This window comes from Homo sapiens, chromosome 9, assembly GCF_000001405.40.
Source record: "Homo sapiens chromosome 9, GRCh38.p14 Primary Assembly".
NCBI classification, from domain to species: Eukaryota; Metazoa; Chordata; class Mammalia; order Primates; family Hominidae; genus Homo; species Homo sapiens.
Window position 1 is genome coordinate 88,989,307 of NC_000009.12, and position 16,421 is coordinate 89,005,727.

A 16,421-nucleotide genomic window follows, 5' to 3' on the forward strand; every position below is an offset into this window, starting at 1 on the left:
TAAACTGCTTTCACTTGTGAAACAGGATGCAGAGGAGGAGACTTATTCAACAGAATTGTAGGGAGGGCTGTTTCTCTCAAAAGGAGTGGTGAGAGAAGATGGTCTCTACCGGGGCATGGAGGGCTCCTTGTCAGAGTCTAGTGTCTGAGCTTTAAGGCCCAGGAAGAGGGCAGCAGATGGGGGTGGGGCAGTGGGTGAGTGAGAGGCCCGTGTGTGGGGAGACCCACTGAGGACAGGGATCTTTAGGCAAACGGAGCCTCACTGAAAGAGGAATTTCAGTGATGCCATGGGTCAGATCCTGGGTCTCTCTTAGGGAAACCTGCCATAAAGCATGAGAGCCACATTACTCCTCAGGGCTTCTGGGCTCCGATTCCGCAGACTAGTTTTGGAGGCATCACCACGCCTCAAGGTTGCTCTGTTATATCAGGGTAACTGACTTTCTCTAGGAACGGAGACTTGGGTGCCCCTTAAAACAACCCTCAGCCAGTATCCTAGCAGTAAATTTTTCATCACGGGAAGCAACTAATTGAACAGAGGTGTGATGAACCTACTGACCACTTTGGTAATATAGACACAGTGGCCACAGTATGCTGTATTGTTATCCTGGTTGTGACCAATGCCAAAGGAGCATGTTTCCTTCTTTTCTTGACTTGATGCTGTAGGAGTCCAACAAAGGGAAGCACATTCAGGCCCACATGAAACTTGGGACAGAAGTGGCTTCTCAGAGCCGTGCACCAGGCACTTTGAACAAGTTGGAAGGCTACAGTGCCGGAAGACTCCACAGTAGCACAGGCGAAGTGGCTTAGGCGAAAACGCTGGGAAGTACCCCAGCTCCCGGGGGCCAGAGCCTCTAGGGCTGGCAGCCTCAGCAGGCAGAGTCACTTGCCTCCTTCAGCTCAATTGCTGAGGGCTTGCGTTTCTCTGCAGGGAACAGGAGTGCCGCCGACTTCCACTCTTGGTGCCCTTCACCGCTCAAACTGCACCCCAAATAAGCGTATGCACCCTGCTCCAAGAGAAGGATGCGCTGGGCTGATCCTCTGGAGGCAAGAGGGCAAAAGACAGAAAGTAACGAGCGGCCTTTGCACAAACTCAACTCTCTGCAGCGGCCCCTGCGGCCCAATCCTGCCGGCCCAGGAATGCACGGTCGGATAACAGGCCTCTCCTTGCTTTTTCGTCTTCTTCCTCCCGCTTCTCTCCTCTCTCCTTTTCCTCCTCCTCCTTTTTCTTTAATTTTCTCCTTTCTCCCCAAGCTTCTACAGTTGTTTCTGTGTTCGCTCAATCATGGCCTTTGGCATTGATTGAAAATTTGGCAGTTCCTTCTCTCGGAATTCTGTTTGAAGCCTTCATATGGATTTATTATTATTATTATTATTTTTGCCACACAAAAGGGGCAAATCCGCGTGAGGAAGGGGGTCGCATGGGGGTCGGCTGAGATCTGCTGGCTGCCGGTCTAGGAGGGGCGCTGCTCTGTGCCGGAGTGGGCTCTGGTGCACCAGCAGAGGCTGGGGGAGAGTGCTGCCCCCGCCTGGAGCCCAAGTCTCTGCGTGCCTGGGGGTAGAGCGCGGAGAGGGACCAGGCAGGCGCCGGAGGGGACCCGCGCGGAAAAGGAAGAAGCCCAAACAAAAACGCTGTCCGGCGCCAGGCGCCCACCTGCAAGCCCAAGCCGGTGCTCGGCCAGTTACAAAAGAAATGGTCAGGATCTGGACAACGATAATGATAGTATTAATCCTCCTATTAAGAATCGGCCCAAACAAACCCTCGCTGTCAGGGCGACAGGCGCCCGCCCAAGCCCAGACCTCGGACCTGGTTCCAAGCCTGTTCCCGCTGGGTCTCTGGGCGCCCGGTTTCTGCACCTGGAGCTCGCCCGATGAGGACAAGGTCTGGAGGCCGGCCTGGGAACAGGGGCCGAAGGGCGAGCCGGACCCTAGGGGATTGGTAGGGTCGGGGAGAAGGGGTCCAGGCTAGGGGCGGGCGGGGCGCACGGAGACCAGGCGGCTTGAGCGGGAGGTGGGGAGCTGGAGGAGTGCCGGGTTCGCGGGCGGGGGACGGGGAGAGGGGGGCGGGGAGAGGGGCGGGAGTCGGGGGCGGCGAGGGGAGGGGCGGAGCGCGGGTCCCGCCCCGGCGGGCCGCTGGAAAAGTTTAGTCTCTGACTCGCTCGGGCAGAGGCCGAGGAAGCCGGTTCCGGGGACGGGCAACAGGGACTCAGGGACCAGAAGGCGGCTGCAGGACGCGACCGAGCAGGACCCCAGGCCCGGGAACGACGTCGCGAGCGCTGAGACTGCCGGGCCTCCCAGCCCATCTGGCATTCGAGCGCAGGACCGGGCGCCCCGGCACCGCCGCGCGCCACCCGCTAGGATGCCGGTGGCCCCAGCGCCCTCAGCCGACGGAGGTGAGAGGCGGGCCCGGGCGGGGCGCGGAACCAGGGTGGGGGGCTGGGGGCCGAAGGACCCACCTTTCCAACAAAATCCCCACCGATCCCGGGCGCGACGGGGACTTGGGCGCGCCACGGCGGCCGGAGCGCTCCACATCAGCACCCCTCCCCCAGAGCCGCTGCAGGAACAGGGAGGAGGCCTTTTCCACCGCACCCGGAGCGTTTACAACGGGCTGGAGCTGAATACCTGGATGAAAGTGGAGAGGCTGTTCGTGGAGAAGTTCCATCAGTCGTTTTCCTTGGACAATTAACAAGTTAGGCTTCCACAGTGCCAGGGCCTGGGGATGCTGGACGTGGGAGAGGGTTGTGGTCGTTAGCCTGGGAAAATCATTCTTTTAAACAATATTCGCCGGAAAATTAGTTTTTTCCTAACATTTCTCAAACAAGGCAATTAGGGCCGTCAGAATCGGTGCTGGAAGACGAAGTCCCCACAGTGCAATAATGAGGTTCCCACGGAAAATCAGTACGTTGTGTTCGTAACTGAGATAACAGCTAGAGAAGGGGCTTTGGGCTTTTTGAGTCTCCCAATAGTCAGTCTCTCTCTCTCTCTCTCTCTCTCTCTTCCTCTGACTTTCTGGCTTTGGACACTCCCAATGGTATATTTCTTTGTGGTGTTTTTATATTTGGATATAAGAGAGGAACTTCTTGTTGGATTTTTAAGGGAACACACTTCGTTTTGACCCTTCCAATAAGGAAAGGGGAGCTACAGGAACAGAGAGCTCTTTAGAAGGTTACTTTTAAATGGAGGCCCCCCCATTCATGGTACCCACTCCCACTTGGACCTCTGAGACCTCCAGAATTAGGCATCATTCTAAAATCTGGACATTAGAAGTCACAGACTTTGTATATAACCACATATTCATAATTTATCTTTTCAATGTTTTTTATTCATAGATGAAAATCTTGCAGGCATAGTTAAGAAAAATATAATTCCTAGAAAGTACAAGGGAAGGATTATGCTCTGCAGATACATGACTAACAAGGATAGCTGGCCATGCCCAGGGCTGGTGTTGGTTGAGGAGGTGGTGATGGTGCGGGGCATGTGTGTGTGTGTGTGTGTGTGCGCTTGAGGAGTTGTGGAAGTGTTCATATCTGTAAAGTATTATTTCATGGATGCAGACCTTAATGCTAGGTTGAATAACTTTGTTGCCATAGAAGAAGAACCGCACGTCAGGCTTTTTTCATTAGCAAACCAGTAAGCACTCACTTTGGGCCTCTGAAATCACTTCCATCACCTAACACCAGAGATACAAACTGAAGCTAGCCCTTAAGAGCCTCCCCCTAAGATTTAGAGAGAATGATTTCTCAACCAGTTTTCATCTTTGAAAGTGCCATTTCTCCCTTTATCATTGTGATTTTTATTCAAATGCATGAGTCTCTGATTTTCTACCATATACAAAGGGTAGAGACTACAGTTTCCTATAGAAGAAACTTCACATAGTGGCCGAAGGATCTTATTTCTCAAAATTCAGGAACTGGTTTCCTCTTTCTGGAAATTATGACATTAACTTGATTTCATGGTATCTCTTTCATCTTCCTCAATGCCTGTGCTGTATGTATATTTTTATTATATACTGTAGGTATATTTTTATTACCAAAAAAAGGAGAATTTGAGCATGCCACAATCTTGAAAAATCTGAGGTTGCCCTGCTGTAGAACCCTTTAACTGCCAGGACTTTGTACTGTTTCCCAAGTGTTACCAGAGCCAGGCCGCCAGCCTTATGCAGTCTGTTTACCTTAGCTGGAACCAGGGTGCTGTGCTGTGGGTTCTATGAAACTTTCTGTTTCTTCATATTTGGCTTTGTAATTCCTTTCTTATCAGTTTTGGAGGCATTTCCTATTATTCCTCTGCCATATGTTTTCTGCCAAATTAATTGCCTTAAGATTTTCCTTAAGCTTTTGGAAATGTATAATGTTTGAGAAAAAAGAAAAAGAATAGACTGAGTGGAATCGTATCTAGTTTCAGTTAATAACATGTTTCAGTTGATGTTACTGTTATAGCTACTGGGCATAAAGTCTCCTTCCCTTTTTTGAATCCTATTTTTGAGGCATTGAAGCTGTGTCTGTAAGAGACAATAGGCCAGTTGGGTTAAATCAGTGACGAGATTGTCCAGTGCAGATTGGTGCCCAGTGAGTGGATCTTCACTGCTCACAGGCCGGACTGGGGTCAGCTCACACAGCGAGGTGACGGTCCGCTCCTCAAGCAGTGGATGGTGCTCTTCGGCCTTGCAGATGCCGCTCCATTTTCCTGGCTTCAAAATTTTCCAGATATTTCAGTGCCCCCAGAATGACATGCTAACATTCTGCTGGCATGGGAGCATGAGGCAGTTTGTCTCTAAAACATGCCAGAGAATCTCTTGTCACTACCTAGGCAAAGAACCAGTGGCAAGGTGGCAGCCTCCCAAAGAGCTCATCCCTAATGTGACATCCTGGAATCAGATGGCACGGACACCGGCCCAGCCCCTTCCCAGCTCTGTGACTAAGGACAAGTGACACCCCCCCTCCCCCAGCCTCGGTCTCCTCCTGTGTACATTCAGAAGGCAGATGCTGCCATGAGGCCATGTGTGCTATGTCCATGGTGCAAGGTGGCACGCATGCCGAGTCACCAGGTGAGACTGCCGCTTTGGGAAGGGATAGGAAGGATCTCCGGTAGCCTTCGTGGGCAGGATGCCTCTTATTTGAATGTGCCTTTAGCCACCTCACAGAGCCTATTTCCACATCCCTGTGGATTCATCCCTGTGGAAATCTTGAGAATCATTTATCCTATGCTGTCATGAAGCAGCAGCAGAATGGAGAAGGTTTAAAAAGACTCATGGACAGGCAAAGCGGTCAAACACCTCCTGGCTCAGACGCACTTGCCTTCCCACACACAAGTCTGGAAGCTCAGGATGGTGTTCACGGAGGCAGATGCTCGGGGCCGGGGCCTGAGTTTCCTGGGGCACAGCCTCCATATCTGGGGTTCCCTGGACTATGCCCAGATAGCTCATAATGTCCCAGCCTTATTTGTGATGGAGAAGGACTTGGGGAAAAGCCACCGGGAAGCAGTAAGTCTAACCAGGGAAGTGCACTGACTTGCATGCTTTGAAGAAGAGAAGGGAGAAAAGATACAAAACCCTCACCTGGTTTGTCTGTAACAGTTGTTATTTCTCAGGGGAGCTGCATTAATGGGCCAAGCCTGTGCAGCTGGGTGTGTGAAGCATGCATTTTGCAATGGACTGTCTCCAAAAGCAGAGCGAGGTCACCCAAGAAATCTAGAGCAAGGGAAAATACTCATTAGCAAAGGAATTTTGCTGGAGCCTTGTAACGGCCGACTCATTATTTCCTTTCCAAGTTATTTTAAATGAAATTTTAAAAAACATCTTGCTTTCCAAGAAATTTTGCTTGTTGGCATATGTTTGGTGTTTTGATTCAGTTTGGAGGATGAACTAGTTAATTTCCCTGGGAGTACATGCCTATTAAAAATATAGCATCCTGCATCTGACCAAGATGCTATCTTACTATCTTATTGTGCCTATCTTTTATGCGGAGAGAGAAAGGGGGGTGTTGGGAAGGAGACCAGACTGTGGAAACATTTTCTTTATTTTTTCTCTTTTTCTTCCTTTTATAGTTTGTTTATTTTTCAACTTGACATGGGTAGAGAAAGCGAATCGCTAGTATAGAAAGCACATCTGGAATCCATCCGGCCTCCTCTCTCTGGCTCACCCTCCTCCCAGCAATGTTTCTCCTTGGAAGTTGGGGGAAGGTAGGCACCTCTGACCTTGGCAGGGTCTAACTTGGGGTCATCCACTGCATACTCATCTTCCAGAAGGCGTCTTATTCCTCCTCGACAAAAAAAAAATGTGTTGGTATTAAAATGCTTTGAGGTAGGCTGGATGAACCCAGCTTAGTGAGGATGACATGAAAACCCTTAGCTAATGGGGTCTTTATTGAGTAGAACTCAGGTAAGTTCAGATGTAAGCAGTGTCTCTCAGTAAACATGAAAAGACTGAAGATGCAGACAATCAAATACTTAAGTCTCTTGAAGAGCTGGGTGGTGGGCGGGGGTCTTCCCAGGTGGTCAGGGAGATGTGTTAGTGTAGCACTTGGAAGAGAGTGGAACGACCAGGCAAGGATGTGCCGTGGAGGTGGGCAGTGGGAGCAGCCCAGTGTCAGCATCTGTATTGGTTAGAAGACCACCGCTAATGAGGAGGAGCGTCTCTACCCTGCAGCTGTCTGTACTCCTGTGTCTTCCGTAATGTGCCAAGCTCTCTGAATATATGCAAAACTAGTCTGCAAAAAGCCATATGTCTCAGCATCTGGCTTTATTTCTAAGTGTTCAGGTGGAATTTAAGCCGCGATCAAATTTACAATGTCACTGCCAGCTCTGGACACTTACTTTTGGAATAAAGCAAAGAGTGAACACTAATACTGCATCAGTCTTGCCCTCTGTTAGGGGCCGCCCCTTCTCCCCACACCAGTTTTGCAAGATGGGCTGGCTGGGGTCTGAGAAACCCAGTGCCTCCGAGTCATGGTTAAAGCCCATCTCAGACACCAACACACCGCTCACAAATCAACATCGACCTGCGAAAACATGGACATGTGTTCGCCAAGAGAACATCCTCAATCAATCCCAGCAGTGCTACTTGATGATAATCAACACATGGGCCATGGAAGAAATTACCCCATGTCCATAAACAAGAATGAATAGAGGGTAGTGTATCTACCCACACCATGAGAGCAAGAATATTCAGCATGCAGGTGCATCTATGTGCATGACTCGTACAAGCATCATGGGGAGAGGAAAGCAATGGACACAATTGTATCCTGTAGGGTTTCATTCACGTGAAGGTCAGAAGCAGGCTAAACTCACCTAGGGGAGAGTCCTATCCCAGGTAGTGGTCATGCTTGGGGACAGGTGGTGACTAGGAGGGGCACAAGGAAGGCTGCAGGGTCCGGCCCATCTTGTTGCTGGCCTGGGTGCTGGTCTCACTGATCTCTGTGTGGTGGGGCAGGTCAGCCTCCCAGGCCTGCTGGTGCCTGCAGTGCCCAGCACTCCTGCCGTGCCTGGCAGTGTTAGTACCAATCCGCCAGAGTGACTGACTCCCCTCTTGCCCTGAGTAGGGCTTGCTGACTCCAGGAGCCTCAGGGCGGGGTGGGCTTTGAGCTTTCTTCTAGCAAACTTGAGGTCTGTGGCTGGTACCCCTCAGGAGCGGAGGGGAACTCTTGTCCATGAGATGCTTTTAACCGTGCGCAATAATGTGTAGACGCATCCAAAATCAATCTGGCCTTTAGCCCAGCACTTAACTCTTGGGATGAGGCCTGCTTTGTAAATGTTGATAATCCAGAGAAAATGAGCTTTTAGATTCCAAAGACAGCCAGATATCTTCCACTTATGCAAAATGCAGAGAATCATATTTAACAAAAGATGTTCTGGACAAATATGCTTCTTGAGGGATGAATATTTAATTATAAGGGAAATGATAAATCAAACATTAATGGGAAAATATGTTTGCCCTCAAGATTCATGATTTTGATGGGTCTCTGGCAAATCTTATACTATGTTTATTGGGGTTATTTTATTGCTGGTTATTAGTTTTTAATTGTTTGCTTGTTTTCTGCTCTGATCAATTTTTGTATAAGCCGTGGGTCTATTCACCCTCTTCTCTCCATTCCCGGGAGCAAGTCCACATCTGGCTGTTGGATGCATGGCAAAAGCAAAGGTGTGGAGAAGGTTCAGAGGAGACAGGACATGTATAAAATGGTAGGGTCAGGTTGTCATGGGGGAAACTGAGGCACAGGAGGCAAGCTGAGTTAGTACAAGAACAGTCTGAATCATAACGACATGCCAGTATTACCTAAAAGGATGAGGAACATGGAGCTGTACTTGAATCCCTACGTGAGCTGGGGAAAAGGGGCCTCAGGAATCACTGACATTGGAACCAAGGTTTGTCTGCAGCTTGTCGGTTTCTGGGACAGAAACCCAACATACTGGAGTGGGTATCCCAGCAATCTGTAGGATAAACCAGGACACTGTGGTGTCATGGATAGCTGGCTGTCTGCCAGGTGATGGCCCCTCTGGTTGCAATGTGAGCCGGGCAGGTCATCCATTTGGCAGCATGGTGAGGGCTCTGGCCCCAGTTGCTATGGGAGGGAGGATGCTGGCACAGGGCACTGTTCACAGACTGCCTTTGCTCCATGCCTTTTCCATGAGCATGAGTGGCTGTTCGTGTGGGAAACGGCAGAGCCCTCGCGGTCCCCATCAGCACTGTGCAGTGGTACCGGAGGTGGCAGGAGACAGCCTGATGGCCCAGGTTGTCTTCATACCCGGCTTCATGCCAGGGTGCATGCCGGGCATAGCACATGTGTCCCTGAGAGGCCCCTGATCAGGGGTGGAAACCCAGCAAAGTGAAAATCAGAAATAGTGATTCTCCAGTTCCTGTTCACAGATAAAGAAAGAAAGAAATAATAAGCAATACTAGGCCTGGTGTGGTAGTTCACACCTGTAATCCCAGCACTTTGGGAGGCCAAGGCAGGCAATCACTTGAGGTCAGGAGTTCAAGACCAGCCTGGCCAACATGGTGAAACCCCGTCTCTACTAAAAATACAAATATTAGCCGGGCATGGTGGCGGGCGCCTGTAGTCCCAGCTACTCAGGAGGCTGAGGCAGAAGAATCGCTTGAACCGGGGAGGCGGAGGGTGTGGTGAGCCGGGATCGCACCGCTGCACTCCAGCCTGGGTGACAGAATGAGACTCCATCCCAAAAACAAAACAAAACAAAACAAAAAACAAACAAAAACAACTAAAAGGACAGTATCTTTTTAGCACCCATCAGTGTACAGGATGCTGGGGAGGGTACTGTGAACTTACCCATGGTGAAAGTCCCTGTGTTAATGGATAAGCTCAATGCTCAGAAAATGCTGCTGACTGTGGTATTGCCCCATTTAAAGAGACAGTTTGCAGTACGTTTTCAGAAGTGGCATGCAGCCTCAGAGAAAAGTCACCAGGGGCTGGCATGATTCCAGAAAATGTTACAGAGCAAGTGGAATTTGACTTGAGGCTTGAAGGATGGGCAAGATTTAAATAAAATTCAGAAACGGTAGAGAGGGAGGGGCTGGGGGGAAGGCTGCCCACTGGACTGTCCTGTTTGCCTCCAGGAGAACCTACAGGCAAGACATGGTCTCTTCTCAGGTGAATGGGAAGCCAAGTAGGGCTGGCATGGGTGAGCCACAGCTCGAGGAGGCAGGCCCCGGGCCCTGCGCTGCCTGTCATGGCTCATGAGTGATGGGAGAGATCTGGGCAGGCAACCTCCTCTCATCCTGCATCATCAGCCTGGACTTGGAACTTGGCTGCTTTTTCTTTCTGCAGTTAGCAGAGGGCCTTGGCCAACACATAAGCCTTTCTGCCAGCACTTGGCATTCCAGCTGACCTCGACCCAAGGCCTCTGTGACTTCAGGAGGCGGCAGCTGGGAAGGGTCAGGGCAGTTCCAGGCAGAGCACAGACGTCAGCTCAGACATCCTACCCCCCGCCAACCCCCCGCCCCCGGGGTTTCCAGAGCAACCAACACCACCAAGCTCCAGGACACTGGAAAAAAAATCTTTGCAAAGAAGCAAGGGGCCATCTCAGAAAATCCAGGTCCCCCAAATTGATGTAGGGAGAGGAGGGCTTTGACAGCATTCAGCACTCCAGAGGGTCACGAGGATACAGAAACCATTTGGAGCCACCTCTGCTTCTCAGCCCCACCCAGGCAAGCCCTGGATCTTCAAGGGACTGATTTGTACCTGGGAATAAACTCATGCATGGATGAGATTCAGAGTCAATCACACCCTAAAATGCAGAGCCCATAGTATTGGTGAGTTGTTCATGTGTCTCTGAAGCAAATTTAGGGCTGTGGTTCAAACATCGTAAAAGTTAAAAAAAATTCACTGGATACACACAGTAGGCTCTTTTAAATTAGCCTCATTTGAACTTAATTACATATTTAAATACTCAAATAATAAATGATGGCTGGGTGCGGTGTCTCATGCCTGTAATCCCAGCACTTTGGGAGGCTGAGGCAGGCTGATCACTTGAGGTCAGGAGTTCGAGCCCAGCCTGGCCAACATGGTGAAACCCCGTCTCTACTAAAAATACAAAAATTAGCCATGCATGGTGGCGGGTGCCTGTAATCCCAGCTACTTGGGAGGCTGAGGCAGCAGAAGCACTTGAACCCAGGAGGCAGTGGTTGCAATGAGCCGAGATCGCACCACTGCATTCCAGCCTGGGTGACAGAGCAACACTGTGTCTCAAAAGAAAATTTTTTTTAATAAAAATAAAAAATAAAATAAAATAAGTGAGTCCACTGAAAGCGGTTTCTACCTTGATAGTTGGGTGTGTGGCGTCATCAACATCACAGAAGGCTGATCGATATTACCAGGTGTGGTTGAGTGCAAGTGTTTGAGGTCTCGTGGGGGAAGAGTTTGGAATTCAGAATCCATTGAGGCCTTCACTCACCACTTTCCCTCTCTCGCTGTGTTCCCAAATGTGCCACTTTTCTGTTGGCTCACATGCACCCATGCTCTATTTGATATTCAGGGCTCTGAATTTCAAGCCAGACTCAGTCAGTGTGATTGTCACTGCTTTCCTGTCCTTCCTTTATCATCTGTAGACTTGGGTCCCGTTTTTGCAGGTTGATGTTCTGTCTTCGCTGGGCTCTGGACTCACTGCTCACGAGTGCGGTGTCTGCATGGGCACTGCCCAGACATGCACTGTTGGTCCCTCGATGGCTGCATGGTCAGGCCTCAGGGCTCTCTGCCAGGCCGACCTACAGCCCATACAGACCTGATTTCTGGGCCTGGATCCAGGGGATGCCATCTGGGAAGTGCGGGATCTTCCCACGATGTCACTGTAAAACTCACCAGGGAGGTTTTAGAAATTGAACCGGCATCATTCAGATTCCATCCTGCTTTTTGGTCCTGAGAAAATCCTGCTTTTCCCTGAGTAACTGGGATAATGGGTCACCAGCTCCCATGCCCTAGATGAGGACTAGTTAGCATTTTCTAGTGCCTGGAGATTTCCAGATGGAAGCTGTACTTGGGTCTGTGTATCTTTGTTACAGGATTCAATAATTCATGCACTGAATTTCCCTTCCCGGCAACTCCAGACACCAAATCGCTTCCCATGGTGTCCCCCAATCACTTAGGAATTTAGCCTGTGTCTAAAGACCCTCTCTGCAGCCTGACGTGGCTAGCCATCCCAGTACTTCCACGTTTTTCATGCCTTTCTCCAACAGCGTTGCCGTGGCCCCTTAGGCGGCGATCGTTTTATCAATGGTCGCTCCCTCTTTTTATCTGTTGGCAGGAGCCCTTTTTCAACGCCCTCGCTGGAGTCTGGCCTGCACGCCTTGCTGAATGAAGCCGGAACCTCAGCCCCGCTTCCCTTTGAAATGAATGTTCCTGGGGCGCCCTCTCGTGGATTTTGGAGCTAATCGTCTGTGAATGCCAAGTGATGGCAACTGCCCTCCCGCCGCGTCTCCAGCCGGTGCGGGGGAACGAGACCCTGCGGGAGCATTACCAGTACGTGGGGAAGTTGGCGGGCAGGCTGAAGGAGGCCTCCGAGGGCAGCACGCTCACCACCGTGCTCTTCTTGGTCATCTGCAGCTTCATCGTCTTGGAGAACCTGATGGTTTTGATTGCCATCTGGAAAAACAATAAATTTCACAACCGCATGTACTTTTTCATTGGCAACCTGGCTCTCTGCGACCTGCTGGCCGGCATCGCTTACAAGGTCAACATTCTGATGTCTGGCAAGAAGACGTTCAGCCTGTCTCCCACGGTCTGGTTCCTCAGGGAGGGCAGTATGTTCGTGGCCCTTGGGGCGTCCACCTGCAGCTTACTGGCCATCGCCATCGAGCGGCACTTGACAATGATCAAAATGAGGCCTTACGACGCCAACAAGAGGCACCGCGTCTTCCTCCTGATCGGGATGTGCTGGCTCATTGCCTTCACGCTGGGCGCCCTGCCCATTCTGGGCTGGAACTGCCTGCACAATCTCCCTGACTGCTCTACCATCCTGCCCCTCTACTCCAAGAAGTACATTGCCTTCTGCATCAGCATCTTCACGGCCATCCTGGTGACCATCGTGATCCTCTACGCACGCATCTACTTCCTGGTGAAGTCCAGCAGCCGTAAGGTGGCCAACCACAACAACTCGGAGCGGTCCATGGCACTGCTGCGGACCGTGGTGATTGTGGTGAGCGTGTTCATCGCCTGCTGGTCCCCACTCTTCATCCTCTTCCTCATTGATGTGGCCTGCAGGGTGCAGGCGTGCCCCATCCTCTTCAAGGCTCAGTGGTTCATCGTGTTGGCTGTGCTCAACTCCGCCATGAACCCGGTCATCTACACGCTGGCCAGCAAGGAGATGCGGCGGGCCTTCTTCCGTCTGGTCTGCAACTGCCTGGTCAGGGGACGGGGGGCCCGCGCCTCACCCATCCAGCCTGCGCTCGACCCAAGCAGAAGTAAATCAAGCAGCAGCAACAATAGCAGCCACTCTCCGAAGGTCAAGGAAGACCTGCCCCACACAGCCCCCTCATCCTGCATCATGGACAAGAACGCAGCACTTCAGAATGGGATCTTCTGCAACTGATCGTCTCCATGCGCCCTGCTCTGCGGCTGTGTTCTTATTTATTGCATGCGTCGCTTCCACAGGGGCCCCTCAAGAGCTGTGACTCGGGAGAGCTACCTTACTTTGACCAACAGCCTGCCCAGTGTGGATGTCTCTTACAGAGGGGGCCCAAGGAATCACCACCCCGCTTCAGTGTAAACAACGTGCCTTGTCCACTTTGGGCTCCAGAGTCTTTCAGATGTACTAAGCTGCTGACATCATCCACTGCCTTCTGCTGCATCCTAGACACCCTCCCTGTTGTTCACAGAGAGGGAAGGTCGTGGGCCACACAATGCTGTGTGACCCTCTCCGTGTGCCTCTGAATGGTGTTTTGATGATTTTACACTACATTTCCTGTGCGTAGAATGGATGCTTGTATATTCGTACATCTCTATGTTACACAGAATTTGTGTTGCAGGTGTTTGCCATGTGGTACCTACATAGAATCTCCATACAACACACAGGTAACAGGTTATACAAGTGGATTCAGACTGAACCCCCAGTACAAGGACATTGTTTTGAACTAGGTGGACATGCCATCCCTGGTCTCCTTAGACTGACATGATTCTCATGTTAACCAAGTTTTAAAAGTTCAAATTCCCCAAAAAGGCTTGTCCAAGGCTGGCCCCAGATGTGTGGGTCTGACCCACACCAGCCCTGTGTCCTGTCCTTTCAGTCATTTGTCCCTGCGTAATTTTAATCGTATTCCAAAGCCCAATTATGTGATGGTTTTCAGGTTTCTGCAAATTACAGAAGAGCCAGCCAAGATCACCCAGGAGCTTGTGCCCCCAGATGGGCCAAAGAAAGAGCCTATGAAGGAGAAGCAGAAGCAGACGGCTGGCCTGGCTCACCTTCCCACGCCAGTGGGGCAGGGGTCTGCTTCAGGAAATGGAAGCTGTCCAGGAAATGAGCAGAGATTCACAAGACAGCACTTTGATTCTATGTTGAGTTTGTTTCTATATTAGAAAAGCAGCAAGTCAGTAATCCCCCGTGGCATCACAGCTAAGTAGCTGTGGCCACCGGCAGTTTCACAGCATCCTGAAAGCTGGCACTGATCGTGACTATCAGTGAAAGAAGTTTAATTTTCAGGTTAGAAAATGTGATCTGGCAGTTTATGCATTCTTCAGAGTAATGTAATAATACCTATGTGATGCTGTAATTTTACTTTTCAACATAAGTTGAACCCGTAGCAGTCTGTTTACCTTGTAAAGGGATTACTTAGAAGACATTTTTGTACATGCTCTTCCCCAAGGATTGTACGTATTATACAAATAGATGGAAAGAAAAGTGAACACGTTTGTAGAACTTTCATAAGCACACAGTTGCTGTGTTGAGTTCTCTTTAAAAACAAGGACAAAACCAACCAGCGTTCAAAGGAACCTCCCATCAGAGTCCCCTAAAGTATTTTAGGTTCAGTGAGCATTTGCCTGAATAAAACCTAAAAGAGTAGTCTTAACACATTACTAACTTTTTCTAAGAGAAATTGATTCCTGTTTTGTCATCTGATGCAATTTGCTCTTATAAAGAGACATTTTCATAGGTTCAGAGTAACTCACCTCCATGGGCTGACCAAAGGCTTTTCTAATTTTTGTTACTGATGAGATGAAACCTATTTGTAAGGAGATCTTCCCCAGGAGCATTTCTGTTGCCTTCTTGACATCAATGAAAAGTAGCATATTCTCTTATGAAATAGCATGAGAAAACACAGGGCATTTCTAGGACAGTAAAACGTTAAAGTACTGGATTAAGAAAACAACAACAGGCTGGGCGCAGTGGCTCACACCTGTAATCCCAGCACTTTGGGAGGCTGAGGCGGGTGGATCACCTGAGGTCAGGAGTTTGTGACCAGCCTGGCCAACATAGTGAAATCCTGTTTCTACTAAAAATACAAAAATTAGCTGGATGCGATAGCACGTGCCTGTAGTCCCAGCTACTCGGGAGGCTGAGGCTGGAGAGTTGCTCAAACCCGGGAGGCGGAGATTGCAGTGAGCCAAGATCGCACCGCTGCACTCCAGCCTGGGTGACAGAGCGACCCTCTGTCTCAAAAAATAATAATAATAATAAATAAAACAACAACAAAATGCATCAGAGAGCCAAAACATTCAGTATTGCATTTTCACATAGGTGATGAAATGACTTTGGAACTTTATCTGTGTTATAGTTATGAGTTGCTTTGGGAGACTTGGAGCTCTCTGTAGCTATTGTTCATAACACTTTGCTCCATAACCCTGATGTCCGCAGTATCTAAGTATCTCAGCCTTCATCCATTAACTCTACTAGGGAGCCCACAGCCACCATTTCCACTAGGAGGTATCAATATTTGTGGTATGACATAAGGCTCCCTTGAAATAACAAGACTTTTGAGCAATCTGAATTAAAAATACATCAAAAAAGTAATAGCGCTCATTTGCTAAATGCAAAAAATAATCACCTTTGATACCAATGTGCACCAATATGCCTAACTAGCTAGCCAGCTGGAGATAATTTACCAGGGAATGTTTCAAAGCCCTAACCTTGAAGTTTGGAAACAGGTGGTCTTCTATGCTGCAGAGAAACTATGCATTAGGTCTCTTTTCAATTAGAAACCTTTACTATTTCCAATGTATGTTTGTTAAAAATAATAATAATAAAACCAAAAGCCTTTGTGGAAACCCACTCTTCGTAGTCCATGTGATGGGATTGTTTTATCGTTTTCACCGGGTGCCCTCCCCACTGCAGGGGTGCGCACTGTTGTTGCAGGCTTGCTACCCACCTGTGTTTCTTAGCATTTCAGGAATTAAACCACATTCAGAACCCCAAATAACCTTTCCCCTTTCTTCTTACCCACTATCATAGGTGGTATTTTAATGAAGCGTCTGTGCCTTGGGTGCTATTTACACCAATTTTGGTAGGTCATACTATTTTGAGAATGGTCTTTTGATAGGGAGAAATTTCTAAGACCCATGGTAATAAAAGTGCAGCTCAAAGACATGGGACCTCTTGTCCTGCCCCATTTGCTGTTGTTTATGCAGCAGGAGAGAATAGGTCAGAACCAACCTTTGCACACTAGCTTTCTCCCACACAAACGGTCCATTTTAGCCTCTCTGTCCCACTTGCTATGTAAAGAGGAGGCCAGTGCTCGGCATAACTGTTCTGGTAGCGATGCTTGTTACAACTCATGATGAAATGTCCCAACGCAAGTGAGGACGCAGCTGCCCGCCCCAGAGCTAGAAGGTAAGGTGAGTTCTCTAGGAGTACATCTGCCCGGATGCATTTTCATTCCGCAGCCTTGATGAATGGGACGAGGCTTTGTTGTGACTGTTTTTTAAGCAGTCCCCCAGGGAATCACTGAAAATACCTACTTCTTAGAGAAAAGTTTCAAGCTCCCCTCCT

General features: G+C 49.5%; 1 protein-coding gene across 4 annotated transcripts, besides 3 other annotated features; it reads left to right on the top strand.

Moving 5' to 3' along the window:
- Nucleotides 1–1,556: 1,556 nt before the first annotated feature.
- Nucleotides 1,557–15,849, top strand: S1PR3 (sphingosine-1-phosphate receptor 3). Of its 4 annotated transcripts, none has more exons than NR_172883.1 (3): nt 1,557–1,935; nt 2,164–2,389; nt 2,546–6,836. NR_172883.1 is itself a non-coding variant. In NM_001395848.1 (3 exons), the coding sequence occupies exon 3, from the start codon at nt 11,895–11,897 to the stop codon at nt 13,029–13,031; it is 1,137 nt and encodes a 378-aa protein (NP_001382777.1). In that variant the 5' UTR covers nt 1,557–1,878; nt 2,164–2,389; nt 11,748–11,894; the 3' UTR covers nt 13,032–15,849. The 4 variants fall into 4 exon arrangements, 2 of the variants coding, with proteins under 2 accessions (NP_001382777.1, NP_005217.2); NR_172882.1 differs by having other exon boundaries at nt 1,557–1,878; NM_001395848.1 differs by lacking the exon at nt 2,546–6,836 and adding an exon at nt 11,748–15,849 and having other exon boundaries at nt 1,557–1,878.
- Nucleotides 1,708–2,002: a silencer, noted in NCBI's record as "tiled region #209; K562 Repressive non-DNase unmatched - State 10:DNaseD". NCBI's record gives its function as "represses a minimal TATA promoter and a strong SV40 promoter by Sharpr-MPRA in K562 cells {active_cell/tissue: K562}" and the evidence as "EXISTENCE:reporter gene assay evidence [ECO:0000049][PMID:27701403]".
- Nucleotides 9,240–9,741: an enhancer, noted in NCBI's record as "H3K4me1 hESC enhancer chr9:91613461-91613962 (GRCh37/hg19 assembly coordinates)". NCBI's record gives its function as "activates a minimal SCP1, AML or CMV promoter by ChIP-STARR-seq in naive and primed H9 embryonic stem cells {active_cell/tissue: H9 hESC(naive and primed)}" and the evidence as "EXISTENCE:reporter gene assay evidence [ECO:0000049][PMID:30033119]".
- Nucleotides 9,742–10,241: an enhancer, noted in NCBI's record as "H3K4me1 hESC enhancer chr9:91613963-91614462 (GRCh37/hg19 assembly coordinates)". NCBI's record gives its function as "activates a minimal SCP1, AML or CMV promoter by ChIP-STARR-seq in naive H9 embryonic stem cells {active_cell/tissue: H9 hESC(naive)}" and the evidence as "EXISTENCE:reporter gene assay evidence [ECO:0000049][PMID:30033119]".
- Nucleotides 15,850–16,421: the final 572 nt, after the last annotated feature.